The sequence below is a fragment of the Homo sapiens genome, chromosome 7 (genome assembly GCF_000001405.40).
Source record: "Homo sapiens chromosome 7, GRCh38.p14 Primary Assembly".
Classification (NCBI taxonomy): Eukaryota; Metazoa; Chordata; class Mammalia; order Primates; family Hominidae; genus Homo; species Homo sapiens.
Window position 1 is genome coordinate 151,084,266 of NC_000007.14, and position 21,803 is coordinate 151,106,068.

Below are 21,803 nucleotides of genomic sequence, written 5' to 3' on the forward strand. Positions count from 1 at the left end.
GTGTTACTGTGTGGATGGCATTGAATCCCAGGCCTGTGGATATCTGGATTTTTCCCTCTGGGCTCCTGTAGCCACAGAGATCTCACATCCTGGTTTTTACAGGCCAGTCTTGATTTAAAATAATCTATCCTAGTCTTCCCATGGTTCTTGCCTACTGTGGGAGCAAGTGGCCCAAATATTGCCTTAGGAATGTCAGTCTAGATTGATACCATACAGAACTAACCTACCTCTAGTTCCATCCCTCCTGTTCATTCATTTATTCTACTAACATATTTTTTAAAAGATGTACTATGGCCAGGCGCAGTGGCTCACGCCTGTAATCCTGGCACTTTGGGAGCCAAGGCAGGCGGATCACTGAGTTCGAGACCAGCCTGGCCAACATGGTAAAACCCTGTCTCTACAAAAAAAAATACAAAAATTAGCTGGGCGTGGTGGCGGGCGCCTGTAATCCCAGCTACTCGGGAGGCTGAGGCAGGAGAATCATTTGAATGCGGGAGGTGGAGGTTGCAGTGAGCTGAGATCGAGTCACTGCACTCCAGCCTGGGTGACAGAGTGAGACTCCGTCTCAAAAAAAATTACACACACACACACACACACACACACACACACACACACACACACTATATCCCAGGCATTGTGCAAGATACTGGGAATAAAATGGTGAATCAGACCCTCTTCCTGCCCTCATGTGGCTCCATATACTAGTAGAAGAGCTAGACGTGTGAACAGCCCAACAGTGCTATAACACGTGTGTGCTAGTTGCTGGGGCAACACATTTGAGGAGCTCTTTGCTCTTAGTGTCTCTCTTGGGAGGTATACCTGGTGCTACTTCCTGCTGTCAATTCTAATTAAGCACCTAAAAGAGATGTTGGATGTTACTTTTAGAATTATACAACATCAGAACTAGGTTTTATGTTCAACCACTATATTTCGCAGATGAAACCCAGAGAGGGCACAAGATATCCTTAAGCTTATGCAGGGAGATAGAAACACAGGTTCCTCAGGAGCTTAGGAGACCCTGTGTGTTGATTAGCTTGCACCAGGTGCTTTGGAAGGTACAAGGAACTCGGGAATAGTGACTGGGTTGGTTCTGGGGCTGAGTTGTGTGGGTAATCAAACAGTGGACAGCTTCATGCTGGGAAAAGATCCAGCTTGGCCAGGGAAGTGGAAGTGTGCGTAAGAAGGACGATGTGTGTCACTGATGCCCTAGGATATCTGGGGGTAGCAGATACCCTGCAACATCTCTGGCAGATTTATTGGCTGCGGCCTCTGCAAATGTCACCTCTTGTAGGTTTTAGGAAACGTGTGTGTGTTGGTGGGGGGGAGGGGGCTAACAGAACTGCAGCCCACTTTGGCAATGGGACTGCAGAGGAACTGGGACATTTCAGGGAGCTCCCTGGCCCTAGAGGGAGTGAAAGGACAGGATGGACAAGGGGTGAGGACAAGAAAAATTGAGAGCCACGTGGGCTTTGGTTGGTCTCTCCAATGGGATGAGTAGGGGAGAAAGGCATATACTATTTCATCCCTCCCTCTTCTTCCTCTATGTACCAATGGGGTCGGGTAGCATTTAGCTAATCTCCCAAGTCCGGCAGGGGGAGGGTCTTTTAGGAGAGCACTGCTGCAGCCGGCAGTGGAGAGCCTGGGCAGGGAGACAGGGAGAAAACTCCGGCAGCAGGGTGGTCTCTAGGGCTGACCTCGGAGCCTGGGGACAGGGGAGCCTATGCCGCACTGAAGGCGGGACGCTGTAAGCGAGGAGCAGCTGGGCCTGGGCGGACTCCTCGGCCAATCAGCCTCGGTCAGCAGCACCCTCAGGCGCAGGGCACTGTTTGGGCATTGCCTAGAGATCCGACACCCCGCCCAGATCAGCGCAGGGAGGCGAAAGCGACAGCCGGGCGCGGGAGGAGACCAGGGCAGCTGTCCCCTCCGCGAGGGTGGCCCTCGAGGCAATGCGGGTGGGGGCTGGTGAGGAGGCGGAAGGGCCGAGGCTGAGTGGGAGGGGCCGGGGCGCCAGGGCTGGAGCGCGCGGCTCGGGGGTGGAGGCTGCAGAGCCAGCGAGCGAGCGAGGGGCGGGGGCGCCCGGGCCGGCGCGCAGGAGGGGCGGGGGCGGCGGGGAGGGGGGCTCGGGCTGCGTGTGCCGGAGCCGGCGGGGGCGGCGGTGCGTGCGCATGACGCGGGGGGAGGGCCTGGGCCGCGCGCTCCCGGTCCCGTTGTTGTTGCCGCTGGAGGCTGCTCCGAGGCAGCGGGATCACGGCGCTGGGAAGCGCTCGGCAGCGGCGGCCACAGCGTGCGCGGCGGCGCCTCCTGGCCTCGGCCTCCGGCCCCCGGCCCCCGGCTCCATGCGCTAGCCCCGCGCCGCCAGCCCAGTAGTCCCGGCCCCGCCAGCCCCGCGCTCCCGCTCGCCGCTGCCGCCGCCGCCGCCGCCGCCGCCTCCGCCGCGCCGCCCCGGGCCCGCCTCGGGCCCCACGGCTCCGAAGCCATGAACTTCCAGGCGGGCGGGGGGCAGAGCCCGCAGCAGCAGCAGAGCCTGGCGGCTCCGGGGGGCGGCGGCGCTGCCGCGCAGCAGCTCGTCTGCGGCGGGCAGTTCGGCGGCGCGGGGCCCGGGGCCGGGGGCGGCGGCGGCCCCTCGCAGCAGCTGGCCGGCGGGCCCCCCCAGCAGTTCGCGCTCTCCAACTCCGCGGCCATCCGGGCCGAGATCCAGCGCTTCGAGTCCGTGCATCCCAATATCTACGCCATCTACGACCTGATCGAGCGCATCGAGGATTTGGCGCTGCAGAACCAGATCCGGGAGCACGTCATCTCCATCGAGGGTGAGCGGAGCCGGGGGCTGCGGGAGCCGGGGCGCAGTGGCCTCTCCGGCGCCGGCCGAGGGCTCCACAGGCCGTGCCTGGCCATGCTCTCCCTGTCGGGGGTCCTTGCGCGCTTGAGGACCAGGCCACGAGGTTTGCCGATCTGTGTTGCAGAACCGGCGGGCAGCTTCGCCATATCTCGTTCGGGGACACTTTGGGGTTGGGGGTTTTCTGCTGACTGTGTTCCAGGGCGCGAAGGTGGTGTCGCTTGGGGGGGCCGGGACCAGATCTGTCCAGGCCTGGCCGGGGAAGGTGGGCGCGGCAGAGGGCTTCAGCTGCGGGGAGGTGGGGTCGTGACCGGGGAGGCTTCTTAGCCGCTGCCCGGGCCCTGCTCCGCAGTGGGGCGGGGGATCGGAGCCTCGCGTTAGTGGATGGCAGCCTTCCCGGGCCCAGCGCCCGCAGGCCCGGAGGGTGGCGCTCGCCGCGGCGCCCTCTCCCGACGCACACCCCCTACGCCGCGGCGGCCAAGCGGGAGCGGGCCGGGCCTGGCGCTGGGCTGAGGCTCAGCGACCGCGTGGGAGGCGCCGGCAGGTCCATCCGCGCTTTGGCCGGGTCATGAGCCTGACGGGGATCCGCGGCTCCTCGGTCTGGAGGCAGCTGCTGGGCAGCCGGGTGCTGACCGACCGCCAGGGACACCGCACCCGGAGTCGGGGACCGGAAACCCCCGGCCACTGCGCTGCCTAGCGCTTTTTTCTCTGGGCCCTTAGGCCCTGGACTTTCGACCGCTGAGGGCACAGGAAGTGGTGGCACGCTGCTGGCAGATGCCTCGCAAGCCCTGGTGTGGTGGGTGCTGGAGGCACCCGCAGGCACCCCGGTGGCATGGTGACCTTCGAGCGGGCACGGACAGATGGGCCTCACCCTGGGCCATCTGCTTCCTCCCCCAGCTCTGTTTGAAAGGGGACGCCCACCGGCAGGTGGTGGGTTTGGCCTCAGTGGAAATGCAGTGAGAGCCAAGGCCTTTTGCGATAACATGGAGTTATGGGCAGGGGCCTGTCCCTGACTTGGGCCTTAAGGTTAGGGCCCCACTCCCAGCTTCATCTGCTTGCCTGAGGTTCTGGGGGATAGTGCACCTGAACACCTCCCTTTCTGCTTTCAGAGGTCCCCATAGCCGGGGAAGAAGTACTGGGTCTGGGGGGACCCCATGTGGTGCTGGGTTCTATCTTTTGTTGTGACATGCCAGTCTGACTTCCTTCTGCCTTTTCCCAACCCGTTCTTATTTCTTTCCTCTCAAGGCTGAGTTCTCTGTGAACTAATTAGGTGACAGAAAAAACTCATTAACGTGGATCTGAGTAAATGGCCTGAATCACCGCTGTGGCTGGGGACTAGGAGATGGCATTTGTGCGAGCCCTGGGCCCCAAAGACAGGAGATGACCAATTTTTCCTCTTAGATCTGAAGAGGGTGGAGGCGGGAGAGACATCGTTGCTGCAGCTTCACTGTCCTTGGAGGAAGTAAAGACATTCCTGATTTGCTCCAAGCTTACCTTCCCCCAGCTCCTTCTGGAGGGCGACAAGCCTCGTGGGCCGGCCACAGGAGGGTGGGGGCACATCTGCTTCCGAGCTTTTCCCAGAGCAGGGAGAGGTTTCCGGGCTCCCCTGGCTCCAGCTTGATGAGCAGCGACCCCTCCTCCCCAGCTCAGGGGAGCCTCTGGTTGAGCATCTTTTGTGATGTGAAGGCTGATTCCTGGGGCGCCCTTGAGTTTTTTTTGCCTGATCTTAAATTTAACACAACAGGCAGAATTTCCCCTCCTAGAGCCCTCCCCTGACCGACTTCTCCATTGCGGTTTGGAAATACCCCATGGTTCCGTCTACTAGGCCTGGAAGCTCGGCCTCACCCTCGTGAAATCCCGGGAGCCGGTGTCTCACTGTCACCAGACCGACCCAGCCGCGGCTCACACATCCGTTCTCAGCCCTGCTGTTCCCACTCCTGGGCCCTGCTGCCCTGCTGCCCTGCTGTCCCTCCCTCCCCCCTGCCCAGCCTCTCCTGGCACCGTCATCTTTATCCACCTCACCCGTCTTGCGTTCCCACTTTTCTGCTGTAGGCAGTCTTCAAAAGAAAAAAAAAACCACTCCTTCTCCAGTTTCTGCCCTATATCCTTCCTGCGATAGAACTCCTCTCCATCTGCCAAACCATATTGCTTCTGTCCTGCGAAGCGGTGTCCCCACCTTCTTTCTGCGAGGAGGGAGAGGCGCAGACTCCCTGGGCGTTTCCGAGCACAGTCTGAGGCTGGACTGAGACCCAGCCCTCCACCCCCAGCCCCAGGGCGGAACAGACCTAGGCTGTTACATAAACACAGTGTCAGCTGGGAGCCGGGTCCTGTGTTTCCTGGGGCTAAGCCTCTCGGTGGAAAGGGGCGGCAGTTCCGAGTGTATAACAAAGCCTCCCTCACTCTGTTTAGACTTCGGTGAAGGGTTTGTTTGTCCCAGCTCTGAAGGTGACGTGGGACCTGCGGTCAGGATCCATCTGGCTCTGAGGAAGTGCAGTGGGCACTTGGGCCTCCTGTAGTCTCTGCCACTCACAGTCACTTCTGACCCCGTGTCCAGGACAGGAGGAAGCAGGGGATGTTTGGCTTTCCTGTGTTTCAGGACAGGATTTGAGGAGAGGGAGACCATTTTGAAAAGTTCCTTTCCCACCAGAGGCCAAGGAAAGAGAAAACCTGCCCATTACTTGGCCTTAGGGAGTGGAAGAAGTACAGCCTTCAGCTGGGAGGGAGAGCTGGAGGGCTCACTATGTGCAGAGCCTCTGAGCCACCTTCACCTCACTAGTGGGGAAACTGAGGCTCAGAGAAGGGAGGGAGCCAAGCGGATACAGCCAGGGAGAGTATAGGCCTTCAACAGGAGCCCGCTTCCGGCTTGGCACTCACCTGCAGTGAGCGCTCCCTGACAGCTTGGGTTTCCTGGCTGAGTCCTAGAAAGAGGGATGCAGGAGAACGAGGGCCTCAGTCCAAATGGGGACACTGGGCACGTGGAGCGCAGGATGTTGTACCAAGCTAGCCAGGAGCCCCAAAGGAGCCCGGGATCTTTCCAGGACCTGCTGGTCCCAGTCGTTGTGTGCAGGTGAGGGCCCGGCACAGGGGAGGAGCAGGGGCTTGGGGAGGGCCTGGGATCCCTGCTGGCAGTTCCCAGATGGGGGGGGGGGGCTCCCGCCTGGAAGTGGAAGTGGACCTGACTATTAGGTGTGTGTGCCATATGGCTACTATTATGTGTGCCGGAGCTGGGCTTTGTCAGCTGGGTGACTTACTCAGGTTTCTCCATCGTTTTCCCACTAGGGCTTTTTTTTTTTTTTTTTTTTTTTTTAAACAGTTACTTCGAGCATTCCAGCCGGCCTGGCCTGGCCAGCAGAGCGTTCTCACTGTCACCCTTACCCCACTCACTTTCATTCAGTTCACAGATTGCCTGCCCTGGGCTGTGGGCTTGGTGACATCCTAAAGGGACTAAGGTAAAGAGATGTGGGGGTTTCTTGTTTGGGTCAAGCCTCAGCTAGACAGAGAAGGGGCCACAGCTGTGACTGCAGTTGGGTGGCAGCTCAGAGGGAGAGTAAGACGGTGCATGTGGCCGGGTACAGTGGCTCACGCCTGTAATCCCAACATTTTGGGAGACCAAGGCGGGCGGATCACGAGGTCAGGAGATCGAGACCATCCTGGTTAACATGGTGAAACCCCCGTCTCTACTAAAAATACGAAAAATTAGCCGGGCGTGGTGGCGGGCACCTGTAGTCCCAGCTACTCGGGAGGCTGAGGCAGGAGAATGGTGTGAATCTGGGAGGCAGAGCTTGCAGTGAGCTGAGATCGCACCACTGCACTCCAGCCTGGGCAACAGAGCAAGACTCCGTCTCAAAAAAAAACAAAAACAAAACAAAACAAAACGGCATACGCCCTGGCATCCCACAGCCCTCAGCCCTTAGGCACACCTGGGGTTTTAGTGTTTGTGTCTGTTTCTGTTCGTCCTGTGACTTGATCCTGGAGGACTGGCATGATGGTCCCCATGTTTGTGCCAGGGTGCTCTCTTGAGCTTTCCTTACTGTTCCTGGGTGGGCACTCCCTGGCCGGGCCCTGCATTCCGCCGTGGGCCCTGCTGCACCACACACTGCTGAGGTTCCCTTCAAAGATGAGGACTGGGGGGGTCTGGGATGGGTGCCGGGGACATGCATCTGGAGCCAGCCCAGGCCCCTCTGGCAATTCGTTGGTTTAGGGACTGAGTGTCTCATGGGGGCCTGGTTGCTTATGCAGGACTTTGCTCGCAAGAGTTCTAGCAATTCTGAAAAAGAGCATAACCATGTGGGTGCTAGTAGCCAGGGAAAGCTTCATTTGTTCCAGATACATTCATTTAGCTCCTACTGTGCGGCCCAGTTGCATCTAGCACAGTGAAAAGCAGACAATCAAAGGAGAGACAGGGAGCGAAGGGGCCAGAAGGTCTGGGCTTGGTGCACCTGGAGAGAACGACTCAGCCTGTAGGAGGTGCCAGAGAGGCACTGGGAGTCCAGAAGGAGACCTAGATTTTCAGAAGACCAGGGCAGGGCAAAGGTCAGAGACTTGGGAAACCTCATCACGACTTCTTTCTTCCGGGTCAGAAGCCAGAACAGGAAGACCTGTCCAGCCTGATCTCAGGCTGCATGGCCTCGTGGGAACCCCTGGTACCCTGCTCCATCCAGGGTCTCAGCTCTGGCTCTCCCCAGCAGTGGTACCCCACAGATGAAGCAGTCCTTGTCCCTATGATGCCACCTGGCAATCTTCCTGTATCATTTATTTCTTTCCTCAAACGTGTGCCAGGCCTGGGGGTCCGGAGGATTCCCACATAGAGGAAACAGGATGATGAAGATAACGGAGGCAGGAGAACATAGTGTGGCTCTCGGAACGGCAAGTTGGACTCTGCAGCTCGGGTGTTGAGTTGTAGGAGATGGGTGGGTGAGGTGGGCAGGACCCTGGTGAAGGAGTATTTCATGCTTTCTCCAGTATTTATTTCCACCCTGCCGTGTTCCTAGAAACCGCAGGAGTTGGTGCGTCATTCTGCGAAAGATGGGCGTCACAAGCGTTTAAGCCTTTGAGAAGGCTTGAGCCACGCCAGCATCCACACCGCTCGTTTGTGCTTGTGAGCCCCCTACCAGCTGTCAGTGCGTCCCTGGCCCAGAAGTGGAGGGAACGAGGTACGCTTCTTGGAAAGCAGGTGTAGCCTGGGAGAGCCAAGGCTGGGGGGAGACAGACACCCCCGTAAGAACTCCCATGTCCGTGTGTGGCATTGCCTAAACATCCACCTGTTGTGTTAGTTTCTTTTTAATATGCAGGTAACTGGAAATTAGTTTAATCTGATGCTTTCCTCCTGACCCCTAGCTGACTTAAACCATTGCAGGCCAAGTGGTAAGGGAGCTTATTTTGGAGCGCAGAGTTGAGGTAGGGAAGGGGGGTGAGCCCAGCCACGTGCTTTGAGGGCGCAGAGATTGGGTGGTGCATGTTCCACCCGTGAATGTTCTTCCCTCTGCCAGGCTCACTGCTGGGGGTTGGAATGAGGCTTTGCAACACTTTGCATCTCATAGTTTATTTTCCCAGAGGAGGGTCTTTTTTGGATTTGCAAGTATTTCCATTTCACAAGTGAGACAGCCTAGGACCTAGATTAAGTAACTTTCCTGAAGCCACGCAGTGAGGGGAGGAAGCAGGGATTTTCTCTGGTTCTCCAACTCCAGGTCTCTGTGGTTTGCCTTGCATGTATGGGCTGAATAAGTGTTGTTGGCCACACCACATCAGCCCTTAAAAGCTGCTTCTACAGGAAACTTTATGGGAGTCAAATGGACCAGAGTTTAACTCTTGGAAGCCTTTAGAATATAATTTTAGGGTGAATTAGGCCTCCTGCTCCCTACTATAATTTTCTTCTGCTCCCCACTATAATTTTCTTCTGGACGTCTTCAATCCCCAACTGAATTGAATGGTGGCTCTCTGAGGCGTCTGTCTCCCATGGGTAGCACGGATGTAGCGTACAATAGACAGATGCTTGCTCAAGAAACATATATATGTATGTATGTATTATATGTATGTATATGTGTGTGTATATATATTTTTGGAGACAGGGTCTCCCTCTGTTGTCCAGGCTGCAGTGCAGTGGTGCAGTCCTAGCTCACTGTAGCCTCAAAATCTTGGGCTCAAGCGATCTTCCACCTCAGTCTCCCAGGTAGCAGAGACTGCAAATATGCACCAGCACACCCAGCTAATTTTTTCATTCTTTGTAGAGATGGGGTCTTGCTATGTTGTTTGGCCTGGTCTTGAACTCCTGGACTCAAGCAATTTTTCCACCTCGGCCTCCCAAGGTGCTGGGATTACAGGCATGAGCCACCACGTCCGTGCCCAAATATGTATTTAATTTAAATTTCATTTTAATGTGTTTAAGGGATGAAAGTAAATACATGCTTGTTACAAGCCATTCAAATGTAGAAGTAGGAAGGTGGCTGCCCGGCCTCCCCTCTCCTGGGAGGATCTGTGGTGAGCAGTCGGATGTGCATCCTTCTGGTCTTTTTTCTATTAACGACTCTTTGCTGGATTTGCTGTTACTAGGCTTTCGCAGCAAACGTGGGATTGTTGTGGAAAATGCTTTGCTGGGAGAAGGGGAGCCGGAGATTCACAAAAGGAGGCTCCCGTGTTCATTTGCGTATTTGGCAGCTCCTAGGCTGGGAGTCAGGATACCTGGGTTCCCGTCCCTGCTCTGCCACTAACTGGCTGTGAGAGCTGGGGCAAGTCTGCTCTGGGTGCGTCTTCTGAGAGTCACATTCTGGTTGTCTATGCAGCTAGGGGTGACCCTGGCGTGAGTATCTGGAACAGGCCAGGCTTGGCTCCCTGGCCGGGGGTCTTGTCTGTCAAGTGAGCACCTGAGCTGGGGTCCCTGAGATCTGTTCTGAGGCTGCCTCTGTCATGCAGCACTTTGAGATGCGCCCCCCTTGGAGCCCTCCAGGAGCTGAGAATCAGAAGAGATCCTGTGGGGAGAGGTGAGATTTTCTGTACCTCTGTTTCCTTACCTGAGGTGGGTCATAACAAAGCTCTGCCGCTTGGTAGTGCTGAGGATTGAGACCCCCAACGCGGTGTGCTTAGAACAGTGCCTAGCGTGTCATAAGCACAGGTGAAATATCAGGCATTATTCTGAAAGGCGGCAGGGTATCCTGTGTAAGGGAATGCTGTTTATTACGTGCCGCCTTGTACGCTTGTCTCGTTATTGCTTTTGGACAAATTTTCAGAAGAAAATGGTCAGACTCTGGGGTCGGCACATTTTTAGGACGTTTGCGGCACTCTGGCACCCTGCCCTCCAGAAAGGCCATTTGATTTTCAGGCATAGAGACAGCCTGGAGTTCCCTGCCCCACTTCCCCGGCACCCCTTCTTCATCTGATACGTAAGAAAAAAAAAAAAAAGACTAAATGACTCTCGTTGTTTTACTTTGTTTGACTTTGATTACTAGTTGATCACTAGCTATTTCATTATTGGATTCACTTTGACTATTAGTGAGAGTTGATATTAAAACATTTTTGAGAGGTCATTTGCATTTTGTTCATTCTGTACATATCCTTTATTCATTTTACTTTTGGTTTGTTCCTCTTTTTCTTTTTTCTTTTTGTAAAAATGGGGTCTCACTATGTTGCCCAGGCTGGCTGTAAACTCCTGGCCTCGAGTGATCTTCCCGTCTCACCTCCCAAAGTGCTGGCATTTCAGGTGTGAGCCACCATGCCTGGCCTCCCCTCCCTTCCTCCCTCCCTTCCCTCCTTCCCTCTGTCCCTCCCTTCCTCCCTTCCTCCCTTCCTTCCTTCCTTCCTTCCTCAGAATATTGGTCTGTCACCCAGACTGGAGTGTAGTGACGCGATCGTAGCTCACTGCAACTTCAAATTCCTAAGCTCAAGCAATCCTCCCACCTCAGCCTCTTGAGTAGCTGGGACTCAGGCATGTGTCACCACATCTGGCTAATAATTTTTAAAATTGTCTTGTAGAGTCAGGGTCTGTGTTGCCCAGGCTGGTCTCAAACTCTTGGCCTCAAGTGATGCTCCTGCCTCCACCTCCCAATGTTACTTTTTCTTATTGAGCTGAAGACCGTTTTAATCTCTTTTAATGTAGGTTTTTCTACAACGTACATTTCTCTGTTTGCTGCAAGTCAGGCACTGTCTGAGTTCCCATAGTCAGCACTTCGGCCTCAATGTGCCCTGAGCTGAGCAGACAGTGCCATCCTCTGGGCCACCCAGGAGGCTGAGGCTGGCTGTGCCCGCTCCATACCGTAGCCCCAGATGGCTGTACCTTAGGGCTTTGTGCCTGTTCCTTTTCTGCCAGAACCCCTCCTTACCGCCGTAGGGGTGCCTGCCTACAGCAGCTTCCCTTTAGCCTTTTCAGTTTGGTGTTTTGATGGCTTGCAAACCTGAAACCCCAGCGCCTGGAGTGGGATCAAAGCCTGTCACAGGGGCAGAGGGAGGACCGAAAAGTCTAGACCCCTCCAGGGATCTCTGCTCTGCTTCTGCTGGGATCCCCACCCCTTCCTGGGCCTGGGTTTTTCCAGGCACTGGTGGATGGCACTTCTGTGCCTGGAGGAGGTTTTGGTTAAAGATGCTCTAAATGTCTTGTCCAATCACAGTTGTACAAAAAAAAAAAAAAAAAAAAAAAAAAGATACCAGAAAGGCAAGCCCCAGAGCCTTTGTTTGAGAAGAGTTGGGACGTTTTGGAGGCTTTCCATCACTCTGAGGCAGCACCCCCTGCCCCCCTGCCACCCCATTATTACTTCTAGATTGTTCTGGATGGTTCTATATTGGGTGATGTGGAATGAAGCCTGGCCTTCATTTCTTCTCTCAGGGCCTGAATAGAATAGAGGTTAAGCACCTGGGCTCTGGAGCCAGGCTGCCTAGATTTGAGTCCCAGACCTACCACTTGGGAGCTGTGTGACCTCGGGTGAGTTCCTTAACCCCTCTGTGTCTTAGCTTCGCCATTGGTAAAACATGGGCATCCGTTTCATGGTGTGGGCGTGAGAAGCAAATCAGTTAACGTCTGCAGAGCTTTTAGAGCAGCAGCTGCCCTGAGGATGTGCGTGCTGGGTGGCGACTGTCTCATTACTTGTCTCAGAGGCTCAGCTGTCATCACCGCCTGCGTGGGGATGCGTGAGGTGAGGGCTGCATGAGATCACAGGAATGACCATTTCCGGACCCGAGCCTGAGAGCCCAGGTGGCAGAGTGTGGGGTACGTTGGTTTAGCTCATCCAGGCCCAGGGGAAGGGACCTGAGGGGGCAGGGCTGTCACAGGGCCTGCACGTTCCCGTGAACACCCAGGGTCATCTTTGATGTTTTGCCTGTTGTTTTTTTCTCTGATTCAGCACTGTGCAGTAGACATGGGCGAGTCACACGTGTGAACTTAAATTTTCTTTTCTTTTTTTTTTTTTGAGGTGGAGTCTCGCTCTGTCGCCCAGGCTGGAGTGCAGTGGCGCGATCTCGGCTCACTGCAACCTCTGCCTCCCAGGTTCACGCCATTCTCCTGCCACAGCCTCCCGAGTAGCTGGGACTACAGGTGCCCACCACCACGCCCGGCTTATTTTTTGTATTTTTAGTAGAGACGAGGTTTCACCGCGTTAGCCAAGGTAGTCTCGATCTCCTGACCTCGTGATCCACCCGCCTCAGCCTCCTAAAGTGCTGGGATTACAGGCATGAGCCACTGCGCCTGGCCTAAATTTTCTTTTCTTTTCTTTAACGAGACAGAGTCTTGCTTTGTTTCCCAGGCTGGAGTGTAGTGGTATGATCTCAGCTCACTGCAACCTCTGCCTCCCGAGTTCAAGCAATTCTCGTGCCTCAGCCTCCCAAGGCACATGCCTTGGGATTACAGGCACATGCCACCATGTCTGGCTAATTTTTGTATTTTTTGTAGAGACGGGGTTTTACCATGTTGGCCAGGGTGGTCTCGAACTCCTGACCTCAGGTGATCTGCCTACGTTGGCCTCCCAAAGTGCTGGGACGACAGGCGTGAGTGAGCCACCGCGCCCGGCCTGATTTTCAATTTTCAAGTAGCCATATTAAAAAGATTTTTTAAAAGTGAGATTAATTTTAATATATTTTATTTAACCCAGTATATTCAAAATTGTATAAGTTCTTATGTTGCTATAAAGAGACACCTGAGGCTGGATAATTTGTAAAGAAAAGAAGTTTAGGTCGGGCACTGTGGCTCACACCTGTAATCCCAGCACTTTGGGAAGCCGAGGCAGGTGGATCACCTGAGGTCAGGAGTTTGAGATCAGCCTGGCCAACATGGTGAAACCCGGCCTCTACTAAAAAATACAAAAATTAGCCAGCCCTGATGGTGGGCACCTGTAATTCCAGATACTCAGGAGGCTGGGGCAGGAGAATCACTTGAACCCAGAAGGCGGAGGTTGCAGTGAGCTGAGATTATGCCTGGGCGACAGAGTGAGACTCTGTCTCAAAAAAAAAAAAAAAAAAGAAAAAGAAAAGAGGTTTAATTGGCTGACAGTTCAGCAGGTTGTGCAGGAAGGTGGTGCTAGCATCTGCTGTGCTTCCGGGGAGGCCTCAGGGAGCTTTTTACGGGTGGCAGAAAGCAAAGCAGGAATAGGAAGTCACATGGTGGAAGTGGGAGCGACAGGGAGGGCGCTACACTCTTCAACAGCCGCAGTGGGGACAGCACTCATGAGGGACCTGGCCCCATGACCCAAACACCCTCCCACCAGGCCCCACCTCTAACACTGGGGATCACATTTCAACATGAGATTTGGAGGAGACACACATCCAGACCATATCAAAAATATTCTCATTTCAGCATGAAATCTATTAATATATAAATATCTATTAATAAGATATTTTTATGTTCTTCTGTTCATACCACGTCTTCACACTCCACTTGGTATTGACACCCAGCGCCTCCGCATGGGACTGGCCATGTTTGCAGTGCCCCCTGGCCATACCAGGCCAGTGGCTATGGTGTTGAAGAATAGCTCTGATTTATAGCCTATAAGATAACAAATGGGACCAAGCGCGGTGGCTCACACCTGTAATCCCAGCACTTTGGGAGGCCGAGGCAGGCAGATCAGTTGAGGTCAGGAGTTCAAGACCAGCCTGGCCAACATGACGAAACCCTGTCTCTACAAAAAATAGGAAAATTAGCCAGGCATGGTGGCGCATGCCTCCAGTCCCAGCTACTCCGGAAGCTGAGGCAGGAGAATTGCTTGAACCTGGGAGGCAGAGGTTGCAGTGAGCTGAGATTGCACCACTGCACTTCAGCTTGGGCGACAGAGGGAGACCCTGGCACACACACACACATACAAACACACACATATACACAAAGATAACACATGGGACTGGGTGCCACTTTGGGAGGCCAAGGTGGGCAGATCACTTGAGACCAACCTGGGCAATATAGTGAGACGCTGTCTCTACAAAAAAAAATTAAAAAATTAGCCAGGTGTGGTGGCGTGCGCCTATAGTCCCAGCTACTCAGGAGGCTGAGGTGAGAGGACTGCTTGAACCCAGAGTCAAGGCTGCAGTGAGCCGTGATCACACCACTACACTCCAGCCTGGGCGACAGAGCAAGACCAGTCTGTTTAAAAATAAATAAATAACAAATGCCTGTTGGTTGTAAAAATTGAATACTGAAGTGTATCCTCTTTGATTCAATTTTCTTTTCTTTTTTTTTTTTTTTTTTTGAGACAGTCTTGCTGTGTCACCCAGGCTGGAGTGCAGTGGTGCAGTCTTGGCTCACTAACAACCTCCACCTCCTTGGTTCAATCAATTCCCCTGCCTTAGCCTCCCGAGTAGCTGGGATTACAGGTGCATGCCACCACAGCCGGCTAATTTTTTTGTATTTTTAGTGGAGACGGGGTTTCACCATGTTGGCCAGACTGGTCTCGAACTCCTGACCACAGGCAGTCCACTCACCTTGGCCTCCCAAAGCGCTGGGATTATAGGTGTGAGCCATCTATTCAACTTTTCAAAAGATTATATTAAAAATTCAGGGCTGGGCACGGTGGCTCACGCCTGTAACCCCAGCACTTTGGGAGGCCGAGGCAGGCGGATCACGAGGTCAGGAGATCGAGACCATCCTGGCTAACACAGTGAAACCCCGTCTCTACTAAAAATACAAAAAATTAGCCGGGCATGGTGGCGGGCGCCTGTAGTCCCAGCTACTCGGGAGGCTGAGGCAGGAGAATGGTGTGAACCCGGGAGGCGGAGCTTGCAGTGAGCCGAGATCACGCCACTGCACTCCAGCCTGGGCGACAGAGTGAGACTCCATCTCAAAAAAAAAAAAAAAAATCAGAATAATGTGCCCTTCTCAGTCACATAACAAATACTTCTTTGTCGAGCACCCACCTAGGCTGTGGTGATTGACAGCAGACAAATCCATTTAAAAGTCTTGCTGAATTCACAGTAGTCTTTTGTCCCTGTGTGTTTTCTTAAAACCTAGAAGTACAACTGTTGTTGTGTGTGGTGGGTGACAAAGTGTGTTCATGTTAAGGGGCACTCGTGTTCCCACCTTGGGTCCTGTGCCAGGTGGGAGGGTGGAGCCCAGGCCCTGCTCTTATGAGATGAAGTGCATGTGGGCCCGGGGACTGGCACCGGGACCGGGCCGCTGGCCGCTGTCAGTCAGCATCTTGACCACCTGCTAGGGGCTTCCCTCGGGACCGTGGGTCAGAGGCCTCAGTCAGCAAAGCCACAGTCTTTCCTCACCCCATCCTGGCATTTTAGGCAGGGGCCATTTTTGTAAGGTTTTTTTTGTTTGTTTGTTTGTGTTTGTCCCATACTAAGTAATATATGTAATAGCAGAAAGTTTGTAAACACACACGGACTCTTGGAAACTGTGTTGCACAGAGGGAAGCTCCCTGTCTCTCCGCCCACTTCCTGGCTGAGAAACAGGGAGAGCCCCCACCCTGGAAATGAGGTGCTCATGGACTGTGCTGGGAAGAGCCCGCGGTGCTGCAGCAGTCAGTGACGGATCCCTTCCTACCCGCTCTTGTGAATGTCGGGAAGGACCCGGGGCTTTGTGGGAGCCTGAGGACAGGCTGCAGGGGGCAGCCCCTGCCTGCAGTGCGCCCTTTGTGGCGTCTCAGATGGGGTGTCCTGAGCCCAACTCCGAGAGGGTCTTGTGGGGATTTCGTGCTCCCCCAGCTGCGGTGCTGTTTTGGAGGGAGATGCCGTCCTGAACCCATGTTACTAGATTCTCATCACATCCCGGGCTGGTTGTGGAGCACCAAGAACCCTCCTGGCTTCCATGCCTGGGAGAGGCTTGGTGTGAGGTGCCACCTGAGCCTGCTCTGTGCCCTGCACTTCTCTGTGTGGGTCCTGAGCCGTACAGCAGCCCCTAAGAGATGTGTCGCGTTCCACTTCACATGGGAAGGCTGCTGTCTCTCCCAGCAGCTACGCCAGTGTCGGGATTGCTCAGCAAGCTGCGGTGTAAACCTGGCTATCGAGTAATTAGCACCCTTATAAAAACAAAATTAAGGCCGGGCCGGGCACAGTGGTTCACACCTGTAGTCCCAGCACTTTGGGAGGCCAAGGCAGGAGGATCGCTTGAGTCCAGGAGTTCACGACCAGCATAGGCAACACAGTGAGACCTCATCTCTACAGAAAACAAAAATAAATACATAAATTAGCTGGGTGTGGTGGTGCACGCCTGTAGTCCCAGCTACTCAGTTGGCTGAGGTGCGAGGATCGCCTGAGCCCAGGAGGTTGAGGCTGCAGTGAGCTGAGATTGCACCACTGCATTCTAGCCTGGAAGACAGAGTGAGACACTGTCTCAAAAAATAATAATAAAATAATAATAATAAATAGACCTGGCTCTGTCAGGACTCCTTGCCCCCATCACAGGACCCTGCCTGGCCGACTCTGCTCTCCCTGCAGCCCTGGCCTGGTGGGTGGGTGCCTGTCCCACCTGCAGCCCCCCATGGAGCTCAGCTGGTTCCAACCACCTTCAGGTCCCCCATGGCCTGGAGCAGCCGCCACCTCCCCCGCTGGCACGCGTCAATCCTGGCGTCCGCATCACTCACCACCTCCCTGATGGATGTTGAGCCCTGAGCCCAAGTGGAACTGCCCAGCCATCCCCGGGTCCCCAGCCCAGCACCAGGCCCGGCCCCATGAGTGCTTGAGCCACCAAGGAGCCTCCTTACTTCTGTAGTGGGTCCACAGGGCCCCTCCTGGGCTGGTGGGGGAATGGCTGTCAGGCAGGCACTTGAGGAAGCAGCTTGCAGGGACCCGTGCATTGCTATCTCCTCCTGGGCTGGAGGGGACAGGCCATTATGGTGGCTGGATGGTCTCCTTCTGAGGCGGGTGTATCCTGACTCATGCCCTCCCTGTTGGCAGGGATATCAGGATCAGGTCTGTGTAGGAGCCTCTTGCCTGGGTTCCTAAAGGTCTCAAGCTGCTGGCACTCATCAGGGGTGCCCAGGTGGCTGGGAAGAGGCTGGTGGGGCATTGAGTGCCCTCGAGGGGTGGAAGCCAGGACTCAGGAGACTGTGGGAAACCCGGTGTCCTGCCCGTGAGCAAAGCCCCAGAGTGTGGGCGCCTCCCTCCCTGTGCCCACCACAGCCAAGAGGCCATAGTCCCATAGGCCTGGCTGAGACACACGCCTGGGTAGCAGTACAGAGGCTGGGAGGAAGTGAGCAGGGAACCTGGCATCTGCCGCAGAGGAGGGGCCCAGGATAGGCCGAACCTCCCAGGGAGCCAGTTCAACGGGGCAGGAAGCCAGGGTCTCGGGAGGCCGGGAGAGAATCATCTCCCACCCCAGGCCTCGGGGTGAGAGAGAATCTGCCTCCCGTCCCTCTGTTCCTGGAAGGCAAAGGTGGGCCGGTGCGCCTGGGTGAGGGGAGCCATGCGGGGGTGAGGGCTGGCAGAGGTGAGTTCTGAACCTGGGGGCAGTGGTGCCATGAGCCCTTCCTTCCCAGGTGACCCCAAAACTTGAGCAAGGGTAAAATAAAGCAGAGGTGCAGATGACAGCCTGCTTAGGCTGGGAGTGGGGCGTGTGGGTGTCCTCGAGGTGCAGTCCCTTTGCTCTGAGTGGGAGACGGGCCTGGCACCAAGGGAAAATCAGCTGACTGAAAAGCAAAGCATCTCGACTCAGGAGCATCCTCAGAGCATGTGCTGAGGGTGGCGAGCAGGTTTCTGCGCAGTGGCCTGGGGCACGAGGACAGCGGCCCAGAGCTCCGGTGAGCCTGCAGCCCAGTAGGTACTGCTAGACATGGCTTCACCGCAGTAGTGCTTTTATTATTAAAATCACTGGCGTAGTATGTTTTCAAACTACTCAAACGCGCCACCCCACACTCCAGCACTTTGTGTTTGTGCTGCAAATGTCACAAGATTGACAGCTTCTGCTGTGGGTGACAGGAGTTACAGGTTCTAAGCCAGGGACAGCAGGACCAGATCTGCTATCTCAGAAAGAATGGTAGTGTGGTTGCTCACGCAAGTAATCCCAGCACTTTGAGAAGCCAAGGCAGGAGGATCACTTGAGCCTAAAAGAGTTCAAGACCAGCCTAGGCAACATAGTGATACCTCGTCTCTACAAAAAAAAAAAAAAAAATTTCTTTTTTTTTGAGACAGGGTCTCGCTCTGTGGCTCAGGCTGGAGCGCAGTGTCATGGTGTGATCTCAGCTCACTGCAACCTCTGCATCCCAGGCTCAGGTGATCCTCCCACCTCAGCCTCCCAAGTAGCCAGGACTGCAGACATACACCATCACACCCAGCTAATTTTTCTATTTTTAGTAGAGACGAGGTTTCTCCATGTTGCCCAGGCTGGTCTCGAACTCCTGGGCTCAAGCAATCTCCCTCGGCCTCCCAAAGTGCTGGGATTACAGGCATGAGCCACCTCACCCAGCCGCTACAAAAAATTTTTAAAAATTAGCCAGGTGTGGTGTTACACACCTGTAGTCTCAGCCACATGGGAGGCTGCTGCAGTTAGATAAGCTATGATTGTGCTACTGCACTCCAGCTTGGACTATATTTAGGAAGACCTTGCCTCTGAAAAAACACACACAAGAAAGAATGCCTTTCTCTTAGTTCTCATACTGTGCCAGGCACTGCCTGTGTGCTTACGTGCCCTTCTCGTATTCCTGCAATTTTTGGAGCATCCCTACAGGGTAGTATTAACCCCATTTTGCAGATGAGGAAACTGAGGTACACAGATGTAAAGGAAATGGCCCAAGGCTGCTCATTCAAATCGTGGAGACAGGACCTGTACCCAGGAAGTCTGGCTTTGGAGCCTGTGCTGCCACCTTTATGCACAGGGAGAAAGATAAGACCTTTAAAAACAGAGCAGAAATTTAGAAGAATGTTGTCTAATCTTGGGATGAGAGATCCTCTTAAGCGGACAGAAAACCCAGAATTTATAGAGGAACAAACTGACAGATTCCCCCCACCCCCAGCTTTTTATTTTGAAAAATGACAGCATTTAAAAATGTGATCATTATTAACATTTTACCGCATTTGCTGGCTCTCTGTCACTGCCTCATGCTCACATATGTTTTTTCAGCAGTTGTAGACACACTGACACATCTTCCCAAGCTCTTCAGCAGGCATCTCCTGAGGACAGGCACATCATTCTACACAACCATTACACCAGAATAGCACCTAGGAAGGTCAGAAGAGCTCCCTGATATTTAGTAGCTGACCCATAACCACACTTCCCCAGCGATGCCTGAAAGGTCTTACAGAGCTTTTTTTGTTTTCCTAGATAAGGATGAAACAGGATCCAATGTGATACCTTTTCCCCCATGACATGGACTTATTGTAGGGCCAGGACCCATTTTCCTGTAGAAGGCCCGAGTCCTGGAACCGTGACGTGGGCTGGCTGGCGCTGGGTGTTTTCTGTCTTGTTCCTTTCTCCCTTGTGGGGTCTTTGAACTGAACTGTGATCTGGAAGCTCAGCGGGAACACCCGGTTCCTCCACGGGACCACAGCCTTAGTGCCGTGGCGGGGGCGTGAGGACTGGGTCTCTCCAATGTGAAGGTTCATTTCCTCCCTCTGTAATTAGTAAGTAGTCTGTAGGGGTGATCATTCCACACGCTCGAAATAAACTGCCCCGCACAACTGTTCACCTGATGGTTTTAGCGTCCATCAATGATCTTTGCCTGAGTTGGTGATATCGGGATTGTCAAGGTGGCCGTAAACCCGACAATCTTTCTGTAAGTATTAGCCAGTGTTCTGTTAAGAGCAGCATCTTCCCACTCTTATCTTTAGTGTCGCCCTTGTGTCATGGATTTTGTTGTTCAAATGTTATAACCAGTGACAAAACTAGCAGACATGTAATTACATTTCTGGGTCATAAAGCAGGAGGACCTCTTGCAGTGCACATGTGCCGGATACATGCTTTGCGTGCCCGCTATACGAAGAGCTCCTGCAGATTAAGAAAACGATTTGAAAAACCCAAGAGAAAAACAGGCCAAAAGAAAAGAAAGACAGGCAAAGAGTAGGATCAAGACAAATGAAAGAAGAGGAAATGCTTTGTGTTGCTGATGAACATGAAAAGGCGCAACCTCACTAGTAATCAGGGGCGTGCCCATCAGAAGCGCCAGGGACTGGTTCCCCGGTTGGAAGAGCAGACTGCTGGCGCACAGGGTGCACCGACATCCCCACCCACGGCTGGTGGAGAGCAGGAGAAGGGATTGCTACGACCAACCTGGAAAAGTAACGGCGTTATCCATTCACATGAAGCATTCACATGCCTCGGGAAGAACACACCATAGGCACACAGGTATTGATTACCGCCTTGCTTGTGGTAGCTAAAAAAGAAGGAAGTGACGTGACTGTCCCTCAGCAGGGGAAGGGTTGAAGAACGGACAGAACATGCATACTGTGAGATGCTATGAAGCCAGGCCACCGGAGCAAGCTAGAGCCAACCCAGTGGCCTGGGGAGGGCCCCAGGTGCCCCTGGCGGGGCGGTTTGGTGTGAACTGCAGCGTGAGCAGGAGCTGGGAAGACAGTCACTCAGGACGCATCTGTGTTAAGGAGAGGGAAGAGGGCATGCGGCCAAAACAGTGGTTTTCTGAGCATGTTGTGAATGTTTTCTTACCCTGAAATAAAATTTAAAAAAGATTGGCAGAGTGCACATTTATACTAGCCACAGCCTGTGTTCTTCCTCTGTATCCCCTCAGAGTCTGACTCAGAGGATTTTCCTCTCCTCATTCCAAGGGGGAACAGTCTTCTGTTTCTTTTTACAAAGTAATATATCGTCTGTAAACATTTCAGAAAACAGGGTGATGTACACTTACTGCAGAAAAACATAAAAGAAGCAAAAGAAGTCACCAGTAATTCTAACCAGAGGCAGGCAGCCACGGTCACCATTTTGTCATTATTTTGATATTTTCTTGCATTTTTTATACAGGTCCATATAATTTTGTTACATACAAATTTGTATCTGACTTTTTAAACAATCAAGTATTATGCCAGTCATGGTGGCTCACACCTGTAATCCCAGCACTTTGGGAGGCTGAGGTGGAAGGATCACTTGAGGCCAGGAGTTTGAGACCACTGTGGGCAACATAGGGAAACCCCGTCTCTACAAAAAAAAAAAAAAGAAAAAAAATTAGCCGGGCATAGCTGACACACACCTGTGCTCCCAGCTACTTGTGGGGCTGAGGTGGGAAGATCTCTTGAGCCCGGGAGGGGAGAGGCTCCAGTAAGCTCTAATCTCGCCACTGCACTCCGGCCTGGGGAACAGAGCCTGTCTCCAACCCCTCCATTCCGCCCCCCCCCCCGACACCACACACACACACACACACACACACACACACACACACACAGTCAAGCATTGCCACCCACCCATGCTAGGTAAGAGTCTTTTTTTTTTTTTTAAACCAGCTCATGTTTAATTGTGACATTTTAAAATTGTACAAGTATTTTGACGTCTGCCCCCCACATTTAGTCTCTTAAAATGACAGGAAAACACCAACCAATCTGAGGTTTAATGGGTTTAATAAGTTTACCTCTCAGTTCCTACTTGTAGCACCCAATATTCCTTTGAAAATATGAAACAGAC

General features: G+C 53.8%; 1 protein-coding gene and 1 long non-coding RNA gene across 9 annotated transcripts in view, besides 10 other annotated features; both read left to right on the forward strand.

The window, feature by feature from the left end:
- AGAP3 (ArfGAP with GTPase domain, ankyrin repeat and PH domain 3) overlaps window positions 1,602-21,803 on the forward strand; it is a 58,568-nt gene continuing 38,366 nt past the window's right edge. For 6 of the 8 annotated variants that reach the window (NM_001350103.2, NM_031946.7, XM_047419870.1 and 3 more), the window contains exon 1: window positions 2,210-2,807. Coding sequence is in view for 5 of the 8 variants with exons in the window: in NM_031946.7 (NP_114152.3) it covers window positions 2,477-2,807 (331 nt within the window). In the remaining 3 variants the exon portion in view is untranslated. Of the gene's footprint in view, window positions 1,796-2,209; window positions 2,808-21,803 lie in introns of those variants that run through there. The other 2 variants (NM_001350104.2, NM_001281300.2) reach the window with 2 other exon arrangements.
- Window positions 1,930-2,179: a silencer, noted in NCBI's record as "silent region_18797". NCBI's record gives its function as "represses an Ori minimal core promoter by ATAC-STARR-seq in GM12878 lymphoblastoid cells {active_cell/tissue: GM12878}" and the evidence as "EXISTENCE:reporter gene assay evidence [ECO:0000049][PMID:35858748]".
- Window positions 2,230-2,319: a silencer, noted in NCBI's record as "silent region_18798". NCBI's record gives its function as "represses an Ori minimal core promoter by ATAC-STARR-seq in GM12878 lymphoblastoid cells {active_cell/tissue: GM12878}" and the evidence as "EXISTENCE:reporter gene assay evidence [ECO:0000049][PMID:35858748]".
- Window positions 2,686-2,755: a silencer, noted in NCBI's record as "silent region_18799". NCBI's record gives its function as "represses an Ori minimal core promoter by ATAC-STARR-seq in GM12878 lymphoblastoid cells {active_cell/tissue: GM12878}" and the evidence as "EXISTENCE:reporter gene assay evidence [ECO:0000049][PMID:35858748]".
- Window positions 3,116-3,385: a silencer, noted in NCBI's record as "silent region_18800". NCBI's record gives its function as "represses an Ori minimal core promoter by ATAC-STARR-seq in GM12878 lymphoblastoid cells {active_cell/tissue: GM12878}" and the evidence as "EXISTENCE:reporter gene assay evidence [ECO:0000049][PMID:35858748]".
- Window positions 3,606-3,765: an enhancer, noted in NCBI's record as "active region_26851". NCBI's record gives its function as "activates an Ori minimal core promoter by ATAC-STARR-seq in GM12878 lymphoblastoid cells {active_cell/tissue: GM12878}" and the evidence as "EXISTENCE:reporter gene assay evidence [ECO:0000049][PMID:35858748]".
- LOC124901778 (uncharacterized) lies at window positions 4,738-20,860 on the forward strand. Its single transcript, XR_007060595.1, has 2 exons — window positions 4,738-5,900; window positions 20,096-20,860. It is a non-coding gene; the product is annotated as an uncharacterized LOC124901778 (long non-coding RNA).
- Window positions 5,263-5,773: an enhancer, noted in NCBI's record as "H3K4me1 hESC enhancer chr7:150786615-150787125 (GRCh37/hg19 assembly coordinates)". NCBI's record gives its function as "activates a minimal SCP1, AML or CMV promoter by ChIP-STARR-seq in primed H9 embryonic stem cells {active_cell/tissue: H9 hESC(primed)}" and the evidence as "EXISTENCE:reporter gene assay evidence [ECO:0000049][PMID:30033119]".
- Window positions 5,774-6,283: an enhancer, noted in NCBI's record as "H3K4me1 hESC enhancer chr7:150787126-150787635 (GRCh37/hg19 assembly coordinates)". NCBI's record gives its function as "activates a minimal SCP1, AML or CMV promoter by ChIP-STARR-seq in primed H9 embryonic stem cells {active_cell/tissue: H9 hESC(primed)}" and the evidence as "EXISTENCE:reporter gene assay evidence [ECO:0000049][PMID:30033119]".
- Window positions 6,409-6,914: an enhancer, noted in NCBI's record as "H3K4me1 hESC enhancer chr7:150787761-150788266 (GRCh37/hg19 assembly coordinates)". NCBI's record gives its function as "activates a minimal SCP1, AML or CMV promoter by ChIP-STARR-seq in naive H9 embryonic stem cells {active_cell/tissue: H9 hESC(naive)}" and the evidence as "EXISTENCE:reporter gene assay evidence [ECO:0000049][PMID:30033119]".
- Window positions 6,915-7,420: an enhancer, noted in NCBI's record as "H3K4me1 hESC enhancer chr7:150788267-150788772 (GRCh37/hg19 assembly coordinates)". NCBI's record gives its function as "activates a minimal SCP1, AML or CMV promoter by ChIP-STARR-seq in naive H9 embryonic stem cells {active_cell/tissue: H9 hESC(naive)}" and the evidence as "EXISTENCE:reporter gene assay evidence [ECO:0000049][PMID:30033119]".
- Window positions 19,261-20,168: an enhancer, noted in NCBI's record as "NANOG-H3K27ac-H3K4me1 hESC enhancer chr7:150800613-150801520 (GRCh37/hg19 assembly coordinates)". NCBI's record gives its function as "activates a minimal SCP1, AML or CMV promoter by ChIP-STARR-seq in primed H9 embryonic stem cells {active_cell/tissue: H9 hESC(primed)}" and the evidence as "EXISTENCE:reporter gene assay evidence [ECO:0000049][PMID:30033119]".